This window comes from Homo sapiens, chromosome 19 (genome assembly GCF_000001405.40).
Source record: "Homo sapiens chromosome 19, GRCh38.p14 Primary Assembly".
NCBI classification, from domain to species: domain Eukaryota; kingdom Metazoa; phylum Chordata; class Mammalia; order Primates; family Hominidae; genus Homo; species Homo sapiens.
In genome coordinates, this window is record NC_000019.10 from 5,828,664 (window position 1) to 5,841,589 (window position 12,926).

General features: G+C 55.1%; 1 protein-coding gene across 19 annotated transcripts, besides 1 other annotated feature; it reads right to left on the reverse strand.

Moving 5' to 3' along the window:
- Positions 398–447: a silencer, noted in NCBI's record as "silent region_9936". NCBI's record gives its function as "represses an Ori minimal core promoter by ATAC-STARR-seq in GM12878 lymphoblastoid cells {active_cell/tissue: GM12878}" and the evidence as "EXISTENCE:reporter gene assay evidence [ECO:0000049][PMID:35858748]".
- FUT6 (fucosyltransferase 6) lies at positions 1,745–11,039 on the reverse strand. 19 transcript variants are annotated; one of them, XM_047438561.1, is made up of 6 exons: positions 10,014–11,039; positions 9,511–9,710; positions 6,287–6,414; positions 4,198–4,242; positions 2,862–3,916; positions 1,745–2,745 (listed from the first exon to the last, which is right to left on the reverse strand). In XM_047438561.1, the coding sequence occupies exons 5-6, from the start codon at positions 3,902–3,904 to the stop codon at positions 2,715–2,717; spliced, it is 1,074 nt and encodes a 357-aa protein (XP_047294517.1). In that variant the 5' UTR covers positions 3,905–3,916; positions 4,198–4,242; positions 6,287–6,414; positions 9,511–9,710; positions 10,014–11,039; the 3' UTR covers positions 1,745–2,714. The 19 variants fall into 19 exon arrangements, with proteins under 19 accessions (XP_047294517.1, NP_001368887.1, XP_047294516.1 ...); NM_001381958.1 differs by lacking the exons at positions 4,198–4,242; positions 9,511–9,710 and adding exons at positions 5,344–5,461; positions 5,644–5,823 and having other exon boundaries at positions 10,014–10,129; XM_047438560.1 differs by lacking the exon at positions 9,511–9,710.

Genomic DNA, 12,926 nt, shown 5'->3' on the forward strand with positions numbered 1-12,926 from the left:
ACCCCGTTTCCCCAGCTTGTTCCCTTCCGCACCTCTCCGCGGTGCGGGCTTCTGGGATGAAGACACTGAAGTCTAGGTGGGCCCAGTTTCCCCAGATTGTCGCTGACTGCACCTCTCGCTTCTGGGATGAAGAGACTGAGGTCTAGGTGGACCCAGTTTCCCCAGCTTGTTCCTGACTGCACCTCTCTGCTGTGTGGACTTCTGGAGAGGGGGAAAGGGGGAGACACTGTGGGTGAGGAGCCTGAGATCCAGGTGGAATCAGTTCCCCAGCGTCTCCCTGTCCGCACTGATCCCGCTATGTGGGTTTCTAGGAAGGGGGAGCCACTCTGGGGGTGAGGAGAGTGAGGTCCAGGTGGACCTGGGCCTCCCTTATCCGACGGCCTCCTCGGGCCGGTCTTCGCCCACCAGGGTGAGCTGAAAGCCACTATCTCCTTCCACCAGCTACTAAAAATACCCGCACGCTGCCCACCTCCCGGCGGGGAGAGGCCTGGGGCGGGCGCCAGCCCCATCCAGCCCGAAGCCGGCGCCTGCTGGTGTAGAGCTGGGTCCCCAGAGACCTGGGTCCTCGGCCCATAAAAGCCCTGGCCGGGCCTCCACGGGGGGGATTTACGACGAGCCCCTGCGGAGTATGGAAAAAGCCCGGCTCGGTGTTTAGATTTCCCCACGGTGTCACCTTGATGCTTGGCAGGCCTCGGGTGTTGGGTTGCCAGAGCGCGGGAGGGGTCGGCGGGTCCCACGGTCGGTCTGAGGGGCGGGGAAGGGGCGGGCACTGCGAGCCCAGAGCAGGCACCGGCGAGGCGAGACTCCTCCCCTCCTGCCCCTCAGACTGGGGGTTCCCAAGGCTACAACCCTTCTCCTTAGCTGGGCCCCCTCCCCTCCTTCCCACACGTCTGCCCTTAGGACCACCCTCTAACCACAGTGTCCCTTCCCAGGCTCAGCCCGCATCCCCCCACCCCCCGCAAAGCTGGAGGGCGCAGATCGGAAACCGCCCCCAGGGAGAATCACCCAGCCATGAAGGAACATCCCTAGCCCCTGGCTCCCGGGGACCCACAGCTACAGCTGGAGACACTCAAGGCGGCTAATCAGCAGGACTTCCAGGGAGCCCTGAGAGCAGGGCTTGGCGGCCAGGCGGGTGATCTGCTTGGGAAGCAGTTTCAGGGCTGCCGCTGGCTGGGGTCCCCGCCTACCCCCGCAGTCTTCTGACTCTGAGGTTTAAGGTGGTGGATTCCTCCACCCTTTGGGCCGACTCAGCCCGGCCTCCGCAGAGAGGCCGGAGTTCCCAGACGCTGCGGAAGCCCAAGTGACGCTTACTCCGAGCCTCAGTTTCCCCATCCTAGATGGCCTGGCCTCAGAGAGGAGTGTTGTTCAGCCCAGGACACACAGCGAGAAAGCTGACCATCAGGGGTCTGCCGCCCCCCCGAAGCTCCCCTGCCACAGTGTGCATGTGTGTGTGAGTGTTGCCCACCCTCCGGGGCCTCCCGGACCTCGGCCTTCCTGTCTCCCACCCAGATCCAGCGTCCCAACCACAGGGCGCGGGCCCAGCCCACCAGGGAATTGGAACATAAATAAACCGAGAAGCCCCTGCAGTTCCCTGGGGCTGCGGTTGTCATCAGCGCATCGGCACACCGGATGAGGGTCTCTCTCACACACACACACAAGCACACTCACAAGACACAGAGATCACCACCCATAAGGGCTCAGCAGGCAGGACCCATGATCCTACACAGTCACCTTCCACACAGAATTGCACACTCAGAAAGGGACACTCCCCCCTTTTTTTTTTTTTCTTGAGACAGTCTCACTGTGTCGCCCAGGTTGGAGTGCAGTGGTGCGATCATGGCTCCCTACAACATCTGCCTCCTGGGTTCAAGCGATTCTTGTGTCTCAGCCACCTGGGTAGCTGGGATTACAGGCACCGGCCACCGCACCCAGCTAATTTTTTTTTTTTTTTTTTTTTTTTTTGAGACAGAGTCTCGCTCTGTCGCCAGGCTGGAGTGCAGTGGCGCGATCTCGGCTTACTGCAACCTCCGACTCTCTGGTTCAAGCGATTCTCCTGCCTCAGCTTCCCAAGTAGCTGGGATTACAGGCATGCACCACCACGCCCGGCAAATTTTTGTATTTTTAGTAGAGACGGGTTTCACCATATTGGCCAGGATGGTCTCGATCTCCTGACCTTGTGATCCGCCTGCCTCGGCCTCCCAAAGTGCTGGGATTACAGGTGTGAGCCACCGCACCCGGCCTCATCATCGGTTTTCTTTGCAGTATTACATCTGGAAACGGTGCGGTGATTATCTCTCTGCACCCCTCACAGGCGGCTAACAACATCACAAACAAATCAGCCAGAACCATCACTCATGGGTGGGGCCCCATGGGTGCCAGTTCCCAGGGCCCAGTGCCCTCCAGGGTGAGGTCCCCAGCAGGTGAGGCTCCTAGCAGGTGAGATTCAGTGTGGAAGGTCTCTGGGAGCAGGTCCCAGCAGGTAAAGTCCCCAACAGCCGAGGTCCCCAGTAGGCAAAGTCCCCAGGAGACATCCCCAGCAGGCCAGGCTTCCGCAGGGGACGCTCCTGGAAGCCAGCATGTGAAATCCCAGGTAAGGGACATACCTGGCCACCGAAGACTCCAGCAGGTGAGGCCCCAGGAAAGTGAGGACCCAGGTAGGTGAATCCCCAGGCAGGTGAAGCTGCAACAGGTGACCGTCCCAGGCAGGTGAGTCCTCAGGCAGGTGAAGCTTCAGGCAAACGAGTCCTTAGGTAGATGAGGCCCCCACTCAGGTGAGGCCCCAGGAAAATGAGGTTCCTGGCAGCCCAGGCCCCACACCAGCCTCTCAGGTGAACCAAGCCGCTATGCCGCGTGTCTGGTACCTGGATTCCTCCTGCAGTTTCCAGCAGGCCTTGCAGAAAGCGAGTGCCCAGCTGAAGGAGCGAGGCCGCAGCGTCTCCCGCCAGCGAAAGTAGCTCAGGTAGCGGGCGTGGTCCTTGTCCAGCTCCTGCAGGTACCGGGCCAGGTCCTTGGGGCTCTGGAAGTCGTCCACGTGGATGAAGGCGTCGGGTGGCAGGAACCTCTCGTAGTTGCTTCTGCTGGGGCCCAGCACCACGGGCACGGCCCAGGCCTCCAGGGCGTTCCTCCACAGCTTCTCGGTGATGTAGTCGGGGTGCAAGGAGTTCTCGAAGGCCAGATAGAACTTGTACCGGGACAGCGTCTCCATCATGGTTCCCTGGGGCAGGGGCTTGTGGGAGCGTCCGTACACGTCCACCTTGAGATGGGCCTGCAGGCTCTGGTAGTAGCGCACCCTGGCGGAGTTTGGCCCCCAGTTGGACACTGCCCAGGCCACCAGCTCGGTCTTGGCCGAGAGGTTGAGCGGTGGGTGGGCAGGCTGGCCGGACCACGGCTCCAGCCAGCCGTAGGGCGTGAAGATGTCGGAGTCGCTGCGGTAGGACATGGTGAGATTGAAGTATCCGTCCATGGCTTTCAGCTGCCAGCAGTGGCTTGGGGACTCCATGCTGAACCAGATCCATCGCTGCCCCTGCCGCCTCGGGGAGCGTGGGAGCTGGGCACTGGGGTTGTACATGACCTCTCGGTGGTGCACGATGACCGCGTCTGCCTGTGGATACACCTTGCGGTCGGCAGTGATGTTGCAGTCAGCCGTGCCAGGCACCATCTCTGAGCAGCGGGGCAGAGCTATGGGTTTGTTAAAAGGCCACGTCCACAGCAGGATCAGGGGGATGGAGTGGGCGGGGGTCCCTGTGCTGTCTGGGAAGCGGGACCCATTAGGGTACACAGTGGGATCGTCTTGAGACACACGCAGATAGGAGAAGAAACACACAGCCATCAGCAGCTGAAACAGCAGCGTGGTCAGACAGCAGCGCCACGACCACTGTGGCTTGGCCGGGCCCAGGGGATCCATGGGTCAGAGTATCTGGGAAGTGGGGAGAGAGGAGTGAGGGTCATTGATGACAATCTCCTGCTTACCAAAGCTCCAGGCCATGAGTCCTGAGAAGAGCTGTTATTATTCCTGTTACACAGATGAGAAAACTGAGACCAAGTGACTCACAGCAAAAGTCAGCACAGCTGGTGTTTGAACAAAGGGAGCTTGGCCCAGAGTCCACTTCCTCCCACCCATTAGACAACAGGCCCTTTCTACATGGGCAAGGGTCCCTGGGGAAGTTGGGAGAGGCCCCAAGGGCCCTCAGGTCCCACCTTGATCCTGTCCTTTTCTGGTGTGTCCCCAGACTCTTCCTCAATCTGGAGAGAAGACACAGCCGATCATAAATGCCCCCCAGTGCCCCTGAGTCGAGGCTTGAACCCATGACTCTGCTGGGGAAGGGCACAATGGGATTGGGTTTTGGAGGTAATATAAGAGCTCACCAGATAGAGTAGACCTGTGGGAAAGGGTGCTCCTGGCAGAGGAAACCACCATTGCCAAGGCCTAGTGGGGAGAGACCCCTGAGCAGTTTGCAGAGAAAGCAAAGGAAGTACTCAGGGCTGCCAGTGTCGAGTTCATATTAGATTGGTGCAAAAGTAATTGCTGTTTTTACCATTGAAAGTAATGGCAGCCATGCGCGGTGGTTCATGCCTGTAATCCCAGCACTTTGGGAAGCCGAGGCGGGCAGATCACGAGGTCAAGAGACCAGCCTGGCCAACGTGGTGAAACCCCATCTCTACTAAAAATGCAAAAATTGGCCGGGCGTGGTGGCGTGTGCCTGTAATCCCAGCTACTTGAGAGGCTGAGGCAGGAGAATTGCTTGAACCTGGGGGGTGGAGGTTGCAGTGAGCCGAGATCGCACCGCTGCACTCCAGCCTGGGCAATGGAATTCTATCTTGGAAAAAAAAAAAAAAAGAAATATTAACTTGGGTCAAGCACGGTGGCTCATGCCTATAATCCTAGCACTTTGGGAGGCTGAAGGTGGATCACTTGAGGTCAGGAGTTCGAGGCCAGCCTGGCCAACGTGGTGAAACCCATCTTTACTAAAAATACAAAAATTAGCTGGGCGTGGTGGCGGGCACCTGTAATCCCAGCTACTTAGGAGCCTGAGGCAGGAGAATCACTTGAACCCGGGAGGAGGAGGTTGCAGGGAGCCAAGATGGCACCACTGCACTCCAGCCTGGGACACAGAATGAGATTCCATCTCCAAAAAAAAAAAAAAGAAAGAAATATTCACTCGGGGTTTCATTCAATAAGCACTCAGGGCCGGGTGCATTGGCTCACGACTGTATTCCCAGCACTTTGGAAGGCAGAGGAGGGCGGATAACTTGAGGTCAAGAGTTTGAGACCAGCGTGGTCAACATGGAGAACCCACATGTCTACTAAAAATACAACAATTAGCTGGGCATGGTGGCACATGCCTGTAGTCCCAGCTACTCGGGAGACAGAGACATGAGCATCACTTGAACCTGGGAAGCAGAGGTTGCATTGAGCCAAGATCACACCATTGCACTCCAACCTGGGTGACAGAGCGAGACCCTGTCTCAAAAAGAAAAAAAAAAGAGAGAATAGAAATATTCACTCAGGGTTTCTTTCAACAAGCACCCAAAGGTTACTCCTCTGGTAGGCTGACGCTGGGGGAGAGGTGGGGACAGATAGGAGGGAGAATAGGCAGGCGTGGGGACCGATAGGAGGGAGAATAGGCAGGCGTGGGGACTCACATGCTGACCAGGAGGGCAGTGGGGCCACCCAGAGACATGGGGAACCCCCAGGAGAGAAGCAGGCTTTGGTGGAACTTGCTGAGCCTGGCCCGTCCTGGAGATACCCAGCAGCGGACTGGCCCCAGGGGGCTGGAGGGAGACAGGGGAGGGCCCAAATCCCCCGGAGTGTGGGCACTGGGTCTGGGAAGCCAGAGAAAGAGAAACCTTCAGGCCGGGTGTGGTGGCTCACGCCTGTAATCCCAGCACTTTGGGAGGTCGAGGCGGGTGGACCGCTTGAGGTCACGAATTCGAGACCAGCCTGACCAATATGGTGAAACCCCGTCTCTACTAAAAATACAAAAATTAGCTGGGCGTGGTGGCATGCGCGCCTGTATTCTCAGCTACTTGGGAAGCTGAGCCATGAGAATCGCTTGAACCCGGGAGGCGGAAGTAGTGAGCCACCTGGATCACACCACTGCACTCCAGCAGCCTGGGCAGCAGAGTGAGACGCTGTCTCAACAGCAACAACAAAAAAAACAAAAACAGGAGGAAACCTTCAAAGAGATGGTGCTGTGGAGGAGGTGGCGGGAAACCGGGGCCACCTTTTTTCATGTATGGGGTGAGACTTGGAGGCTGGGAGGGACCCTTGGACCATGATAAGGACCTGCTGCCGCTCCCTGGACACTGCTGCGTCTGACACCTTCTGGGAGATGCTAGAGGGACTCGGGGATCTGGAGACAGGCCTTTCTTCTAAAAGAGGATGCACTGGATCCCGTCTGGATGCCCGTGACACTGCAAAAAGCCAGAGACATAAGGGGACTGTGTCCGTGAACCTCAACAGAGCCTGGCCACTGAGCCTCAGCTTTGAAGGTCTGAAGGTCTGGCCAATCTCACTCCATTCCTAGGTCCTTCCCGCCCCCATAGGGTGTCACAGAGTCCTCCAGACCCCAGATCCTGACCTCGGGAACAGAAATCCAAGACCCCAGCCCTGCCCCTCTCTGTTCCTTGCAGCCCTACAGCTGTCCATTCTACAGATGAGGAAACTAAGGCTCAGAGAGACACCTATGTGTCCTGCTGAGTACACACAACTAGAGCCATTTTGATCCAGACCCCAAAGTCTCCCCACCTTAATGTCACCCCAAACTCCTCTAGGACTTTGCAGATGGAGCTGACATCTCCCGAATAACCTTGTCCCACAGAACTTTCTGTGATGATGGGCCGGGCTTGGTGGCTCATGCTTGTAATCCCAGTACTTTGGGAGGCTGAGGTGGGCGGATTACCTGAGGTCAGGAGTTCAAGACCAGCCTGGCCAACATGTCTCTACTAAAAATACAAAAATTAGTCAGGTATGGTGGCAGGAGCCTGTAATGCCAGCTACTCGGGAGGCTGAGACAAGAGAATTGCTTGAACCTGGGAGACAGAGGTTGCAGTGAGCCGAGATTGCACCATTGCCCTCCAGCCTGGGTGATGAGAGTGAAACTCCGTCTCAACAAAAACAAAGCAACTTTCTGTGATGACGGAAATGTTCTCTACATGCAGCATCAAAATTGGTGGCCAATGAGCCCTTCAAAAGTGACCATGCTGTCGGAAAAACAGAATAGTTAATGCTAATTTTTTTTTTCATACGGAGTCTTGCTCTGTCGCCCAGACTGGAGTGCAGTGGTGTGATCTTGGCTCACTGCAACTTCTACATCCTGAGATCAAGTGATTGTCGTGCCTCAGCCTCTCGAGTAGCTGGGACTACAAGTGTGCACCATCATGCCTGGCTAGTTTTTGTATTTTTAGTAGAGACGGAGTTTCACTATGTTGGCCAGGCTGGTCTTGAACTCCTAACCTCAGGTGATCCACCTGCCTCGCCTCAGCCTCCCAAAGTGCTGAGATTACATCTGTGAGCCACTGTGCCCGGCCTGGCTAATGTTAATTTTCTTTTCTTTTCTTTTCTTTTTTGAGACGGAGTTTCACTTTTGTTGCCCAGGCTGGAGTGCAATGGCACGATCTCAGCTCACTGCAACCTCCGCCTCCCGGGTTCAAGCGATTCTCTTGCCTCAGCCTCCTGAGTAGCTGGGATTAGAGGCACGTGCCATCATGCCTGGCTAATTTTTGTATTTTTAGTAGAGATGGGGTTTCACCATGTTGTCCAGGCTGGTCTTGAACTCCTGACCTCAGGTGATCTGCCTGCCTCGGCCTCCCAAAGTGCTAGGATTACAGGCGTGCACCACGGCGCCCGGCCCAATGCTAATTTAAACTTAAAAATAGATACTGGCCGGGAGTAATGGCTTACACCTATAATCCCAATGCTTTGGGCGGCTGAGGTGGGAGGATCGCTTGATTCCAAGAGTTTGAGACCAGCCTGAGCAGCATAGCAAGACCTCAAGACCTCATCTCTACAACGAATTTTATTATTTATTATTATTATTTTGCCAGACATGGTGGCCTGTAGTCTCAGCTACTCAGGATGCTGAGGCAGGAGGATTTCTGGAGCCCAGAAGTTCAAGGCTGCTGTAAGCCATGGTTGCACTATTGCACTTCTGCTTAGACAATAGAATGAGACCGTGTCTCAAAATAAATAAATAAATAAATAACAACAAAAAATAAAAACACAGAAAACAAAAACCACAAAAAAGCACACAAGAAACAGATACTCAAAAAGAAAAAAAGCAATGACTGGTATTACAGGCAGTAATTGGGAAACTTTTGAGTACCTTCAGAACATCTTGGATGGGCAAATCTACTTCTTCACCTGTACTTTTTATGTTTGTTTGTTTGTTCTGAGATGGAATCTTGCTCTGTCACCCAGGCTGGAGCACAGTGGCGTGATCTTGGCTCACTGCAACCTCTAGCTCCCGGGCTAAAGTGATTTTCCTGCCTCAGCCTCCCAAGTAGCTGGGATTACAGGCGCCCCCCACCACACCCAGGTAATTTCTGTCTTTTTAGTAGAGATGGAGTTTCACCATGTTGGCCAGGCTGGTCTCGAACTCCTGACCTCAATTGACCCGCCCACCTCAGCCTCCCAAAGTGCTGGGGTTACAGGCATGAGTCACCACGCCCAGCCTCATTTTATGGAAACTAAATACAGATTGAGTAGTTATGACAGACATTGAATGTCTGAATTGTCTTCTGAGGGTAAAATGCACACTAGATTGCCAAGATTTAGGATGAAAAACAGAATGTCAGATATCTCAATAAAACTTTTTAAAGGCCAGGCACGGTGGCTCATGCCTGTAGTCCCAGCACTTTGAGAGGTGGAGGCGGGCGAATCACCTGAGGTCAGGAGTTAGAGACTGTCCTGACCAACATGGTGAAACCCCGTCTCTACTAAAAATACAAAAAATTAGCCAGGCGCGGTGGCGGGCACCTGTAGTCCCAGCTACTCGGGAGGCTGAGGCAGGAAAATGGTGTGAACCCGGGAGGCGGAGCTTGCAGTGAGCCAAGGTCGCGCCACTGCACTCCAGCCTGGGCAACAGAGCGAGACTCTGTCTCAAAAAAATAAAATAAAATAAAATAAAATAAATAAACTGAGTTGGTCTAAACCTTATGGTGCATAGCGGAGCTCCAGGCATGGTGACCTAGGTGTGATGAGAAGGGATTGAGAGCACAAGCGCATACCAAAGTTCTGGAAAAAGACTCAAGAGACAGCCCTCGAGGGACACTCAGAGCCCGGACTGGGAGGGAGGTTGAATTTTAACCAAGTATTCCTTTGTGCTGTCGGGCTCTTGGGCTGCCAGTGAAAGGTTAATGTTTAGAGATACATTTAATATTAATATATTATCATGTGGCCCCTGGGTTTATGGCGACCTCTTCCTAGGAGACAGTGAAGTCTTTGCCGGTGACCTTCAGGAGGGGAGATTGGGGGAAACGGGGAACGGGAGTCCAGGAGAGAGATCTCACCCAAGGTACTTTCCCTGGAAAATGATCGATCCACGCCACAAAGATCAGGATGCAAAAAAACAAAGCCAGAAAGCAAACCGCATTCTAAGCCCTCTTTTACCACCGGGAGTGGCAGAGGCAGAGAAAATCCGGGGCCAGGAAGGATGAAGGGGTGTAGGCTGCTGATGGGGTCGGGGGGCACGGGATTCTACCGCAGAGCTCTGCAAGAGAGACAGACAGACACCCACTTCCTCCTGGTTTGGCAAATCAGCCAGACCTCCCATATCCTCAGCCCACCTCGGTGCATCCAGAAAGACCCCTGCCTGCGACTAGGGGCTGCTGGCCAAATGCCAGGCCACTGCACAGCCTGCAGACCCTCCCCCAGGGATCTTGTGCCAGCCCACCCGCACTCTGAATTACAGCAGACAGGACTGAGGCTGAGGGGAGGAGGCTCGGAGCCAGGAGGCCTTTCCCTGGACCCATGCGATCCGGGTTGGGGGTGAAAGTGGGACAAGAGGCCTTACCTGGGGGGGCCAGTGTGCAGAGGGCCCTAGAGCTGAGAGGCCGCGGACGGAGTAACAGCTGGATTCTGAGGACGTGGAAGAGGCCACACCACGCAGCAGAAGGAAGGAGGAAGTGTACCCGGAGCTGAAACCAGGCCCTTTCCAACCACCACACCTGTCATCAGGTGACCCAGGGCATCCTGTCCTGGAGCCCGGACATCCTTTGAAAACAAATCGTGGGGCTCCCCTAATCCCCGTTGCAGAACCAAACAGGGTGAAGGGATTTGGAGACTCAGGTCATGCATGACCTTGCCCCACCTGTGGCTTCAATGCGATGTGGCTTTGAGTACAAAGTGAAAAGGCTGACCTGAACCACCGGTTCCCAAAGCGGGTTCCACAGGGACACCAGGGGTTCCTTGGGAGGTGGGAATGAGGAAGTGAGCAGAATTTCTACCTTTCCGCTTTCCTTCCCACCAGATCCCACCTTCTCACTCAGTTGGCCCATCACCAAATATTTCCTGAGCACTAAGTGCCAGGCCAAGGGATCTTGCAGGAAACCGGTGGGCAAGTCAGGCAACTCATGAACCTTGGAAGGGAACTTTCTTCAATTAAAATTGCAGCCTTTTGAATAAAAAAGGGATGGAAGGGCATTCCAGTTACAAGGAACAACCTTCGCAAAGGCCCTGAGGCAGCAGAAATGCAGGCATGTTGAGGAACTGCAGGAGGAGTCTCAGCAGGCTGGGTCTTCACCACTGGAGAGGAGGCAGAGCTGTTGCAGAGGCTGGGCCACGGTCAGCCATAGGGTGTTCAGCACCAAGGCAATAGGGAGCCATGTGAGGCTTCAAGCAGAGGGGTTACCATGTCGATACATGTTTTCAGATGCTCTCTTCTGGTAGGCTGGGCACAGGTCCCATATTGGTGGCAGAAGCTTCCTCCGGTGGCCTCAACAAGCCCCTCTGTGTGCCTCAAAGCCACTTCCTTTCCCCACCCACTCCTGCAGGGCAGTGCAAAGCAGAAGTCCAGGGAGCTATGCAAACTTCCTGGAATGGAGAGAAATGATCTGGAATACTGGTTTTGAGGGAGGATGACCTTAAACTCTCTCACTCCCAAGCTGGGTGCAAAGGTGACCGAGCTCAAAGCCCAGCCTCCAAGTATCACGACTGCCCTGTTCTAGAAATCATTTCTGGGAGGCTGCATCATGCTGCCTGAGTTCTACTATCTCAGTGCCCAGCCACGCCCAGACCAGTGAGGTTCTGGGAGGTAGGGATGGGCCAGGGGGTTGGGGTCTCCCAGAGCTCCAGAAGTGGCAACCTAATTCCACTCATGTCTCATTCCTTGACTGGTGAGGTTGACTGTAACTTATTAAAAAAATGACTTCTGGGGGCCGGGCGTGGTGGCTCACGCCTGTAATCCCAACACTTTGGGAGGCCGAGGTGGGCAGATCACGAGATCAGAAGATCAAGACCATCCATCCTGACTAACATGGTGAAACCCTGTCTCTACTAAAAATACAAAAAAATTAGCCAGGCGTGGTAGTGGGTGCCTGTAGTCCCAGCTACTTGGGAGGCTGAGGCAGGAGAATGGTGTGAACCCGGGAGGCGGAGCTTGCAGTGAGCCTAGATTGAGCCACTGCACTCCAGCCTGGGCGACAGTGCAAGACTCTGTCTCAAAAAAAAAAAAAAAAAAAAAAAAGACTTCTGAGGCCATGCACAGTGACTCACACCTGTAATCCCAACAGTTTGGGAAGGAGAGGCAGGAAGATCGCTTGAGCCCAGGAGTCTGAGACCAGCCTAGGGAAAACAGAGATACCCCTATCTCTCTCTTTTTTTTGAGATGGAATCTTGCTCTGTCACTCGGGCTGGAGTGCAGTGGCACAGTCTCAGTTTACTGTAACCTATGCCTCCCGGGCTCAAGCGATTCTCATGCCCCAGCCTCCCGAGTAGCTGGGACTACAGGCGCGTGACACGGCACTGGGTAACTTTCGTATTTTTTTAATAGAGCTGGTTTTCGCCATGTTAGCCAGGCTGATCTTGACCTCCTGACTTCAGGTGATCTGTCTGCCTCAGCCTCCTAAAGTACTGGGATTAGAGGCCAGGCATGAGCCACTCCGCCCAGCTGGGTTTTTTTTCTTTTTTTTTTTTGAGACAGAGTCTCGCTCTGTGGCCCAGGCTGGAGTGCAGTGGCACGATCTCGGCTCATGGCAAGCTCTGCCTCCTGGGTTCACGCCATTCTCCTGCCCCAAGTAGCTGGGACTACAGGCGTCCGCCATCACGCCCAGCTAATTTTTTTTTTTTTTTTTGTATTTTTAGTAGAGACATGTTAGCCAGGATGGTCTCGATCTCCTGACCTTGTGATCCGCCCGCCTCGGCCTCCCAAAGTGCTGGGATTACAGGCGTGAGCCACCACGCCCCGCCCCCAGCTGGGTTGTTTCTTAAGGATTCAAAATCCAAAGGTAGGTCTCTAGTGAGGGACAGTAGGGCTCTAGTCATTCCATCGATGTGATCGCTGGGCAAAGGGAGGGTGGAGGACCTTGGGCTGACCTCAGGGATGGTGCCAGAGAGAACGTGTGCTCATCCTGAAACTGCTGTGTGACTTGAGAGGTTTCCTGGTCCTCTCTGAGCAGGGCTCACCATACCAGTGCCAGGTGGGACCTCCCTGCCAAGGAGCTGAGCCCAGAGCCCAGAGTAGGGTATCATGAGGACCTCTTCCCTCAGGCTCAGGGCAAGCTAGGACCTGCTTGAGGCTTGCAGGGGCAGTTAGGCCATCTGTGCACCTCGTTGGGGTCTTGGCCCTCATTGGACCCTCCAGTGCCTTCCCTGGCCAGGGCTGGGTGGGAGATGGAGCTGCCAGCCTGCTGGAAATTTTTCTCCCCCTGGGGCCCAGGGCTGGGAGCCAAGGGCAGCTGGTGCCCAGGAGGAGGGAGAAGGCCCCACG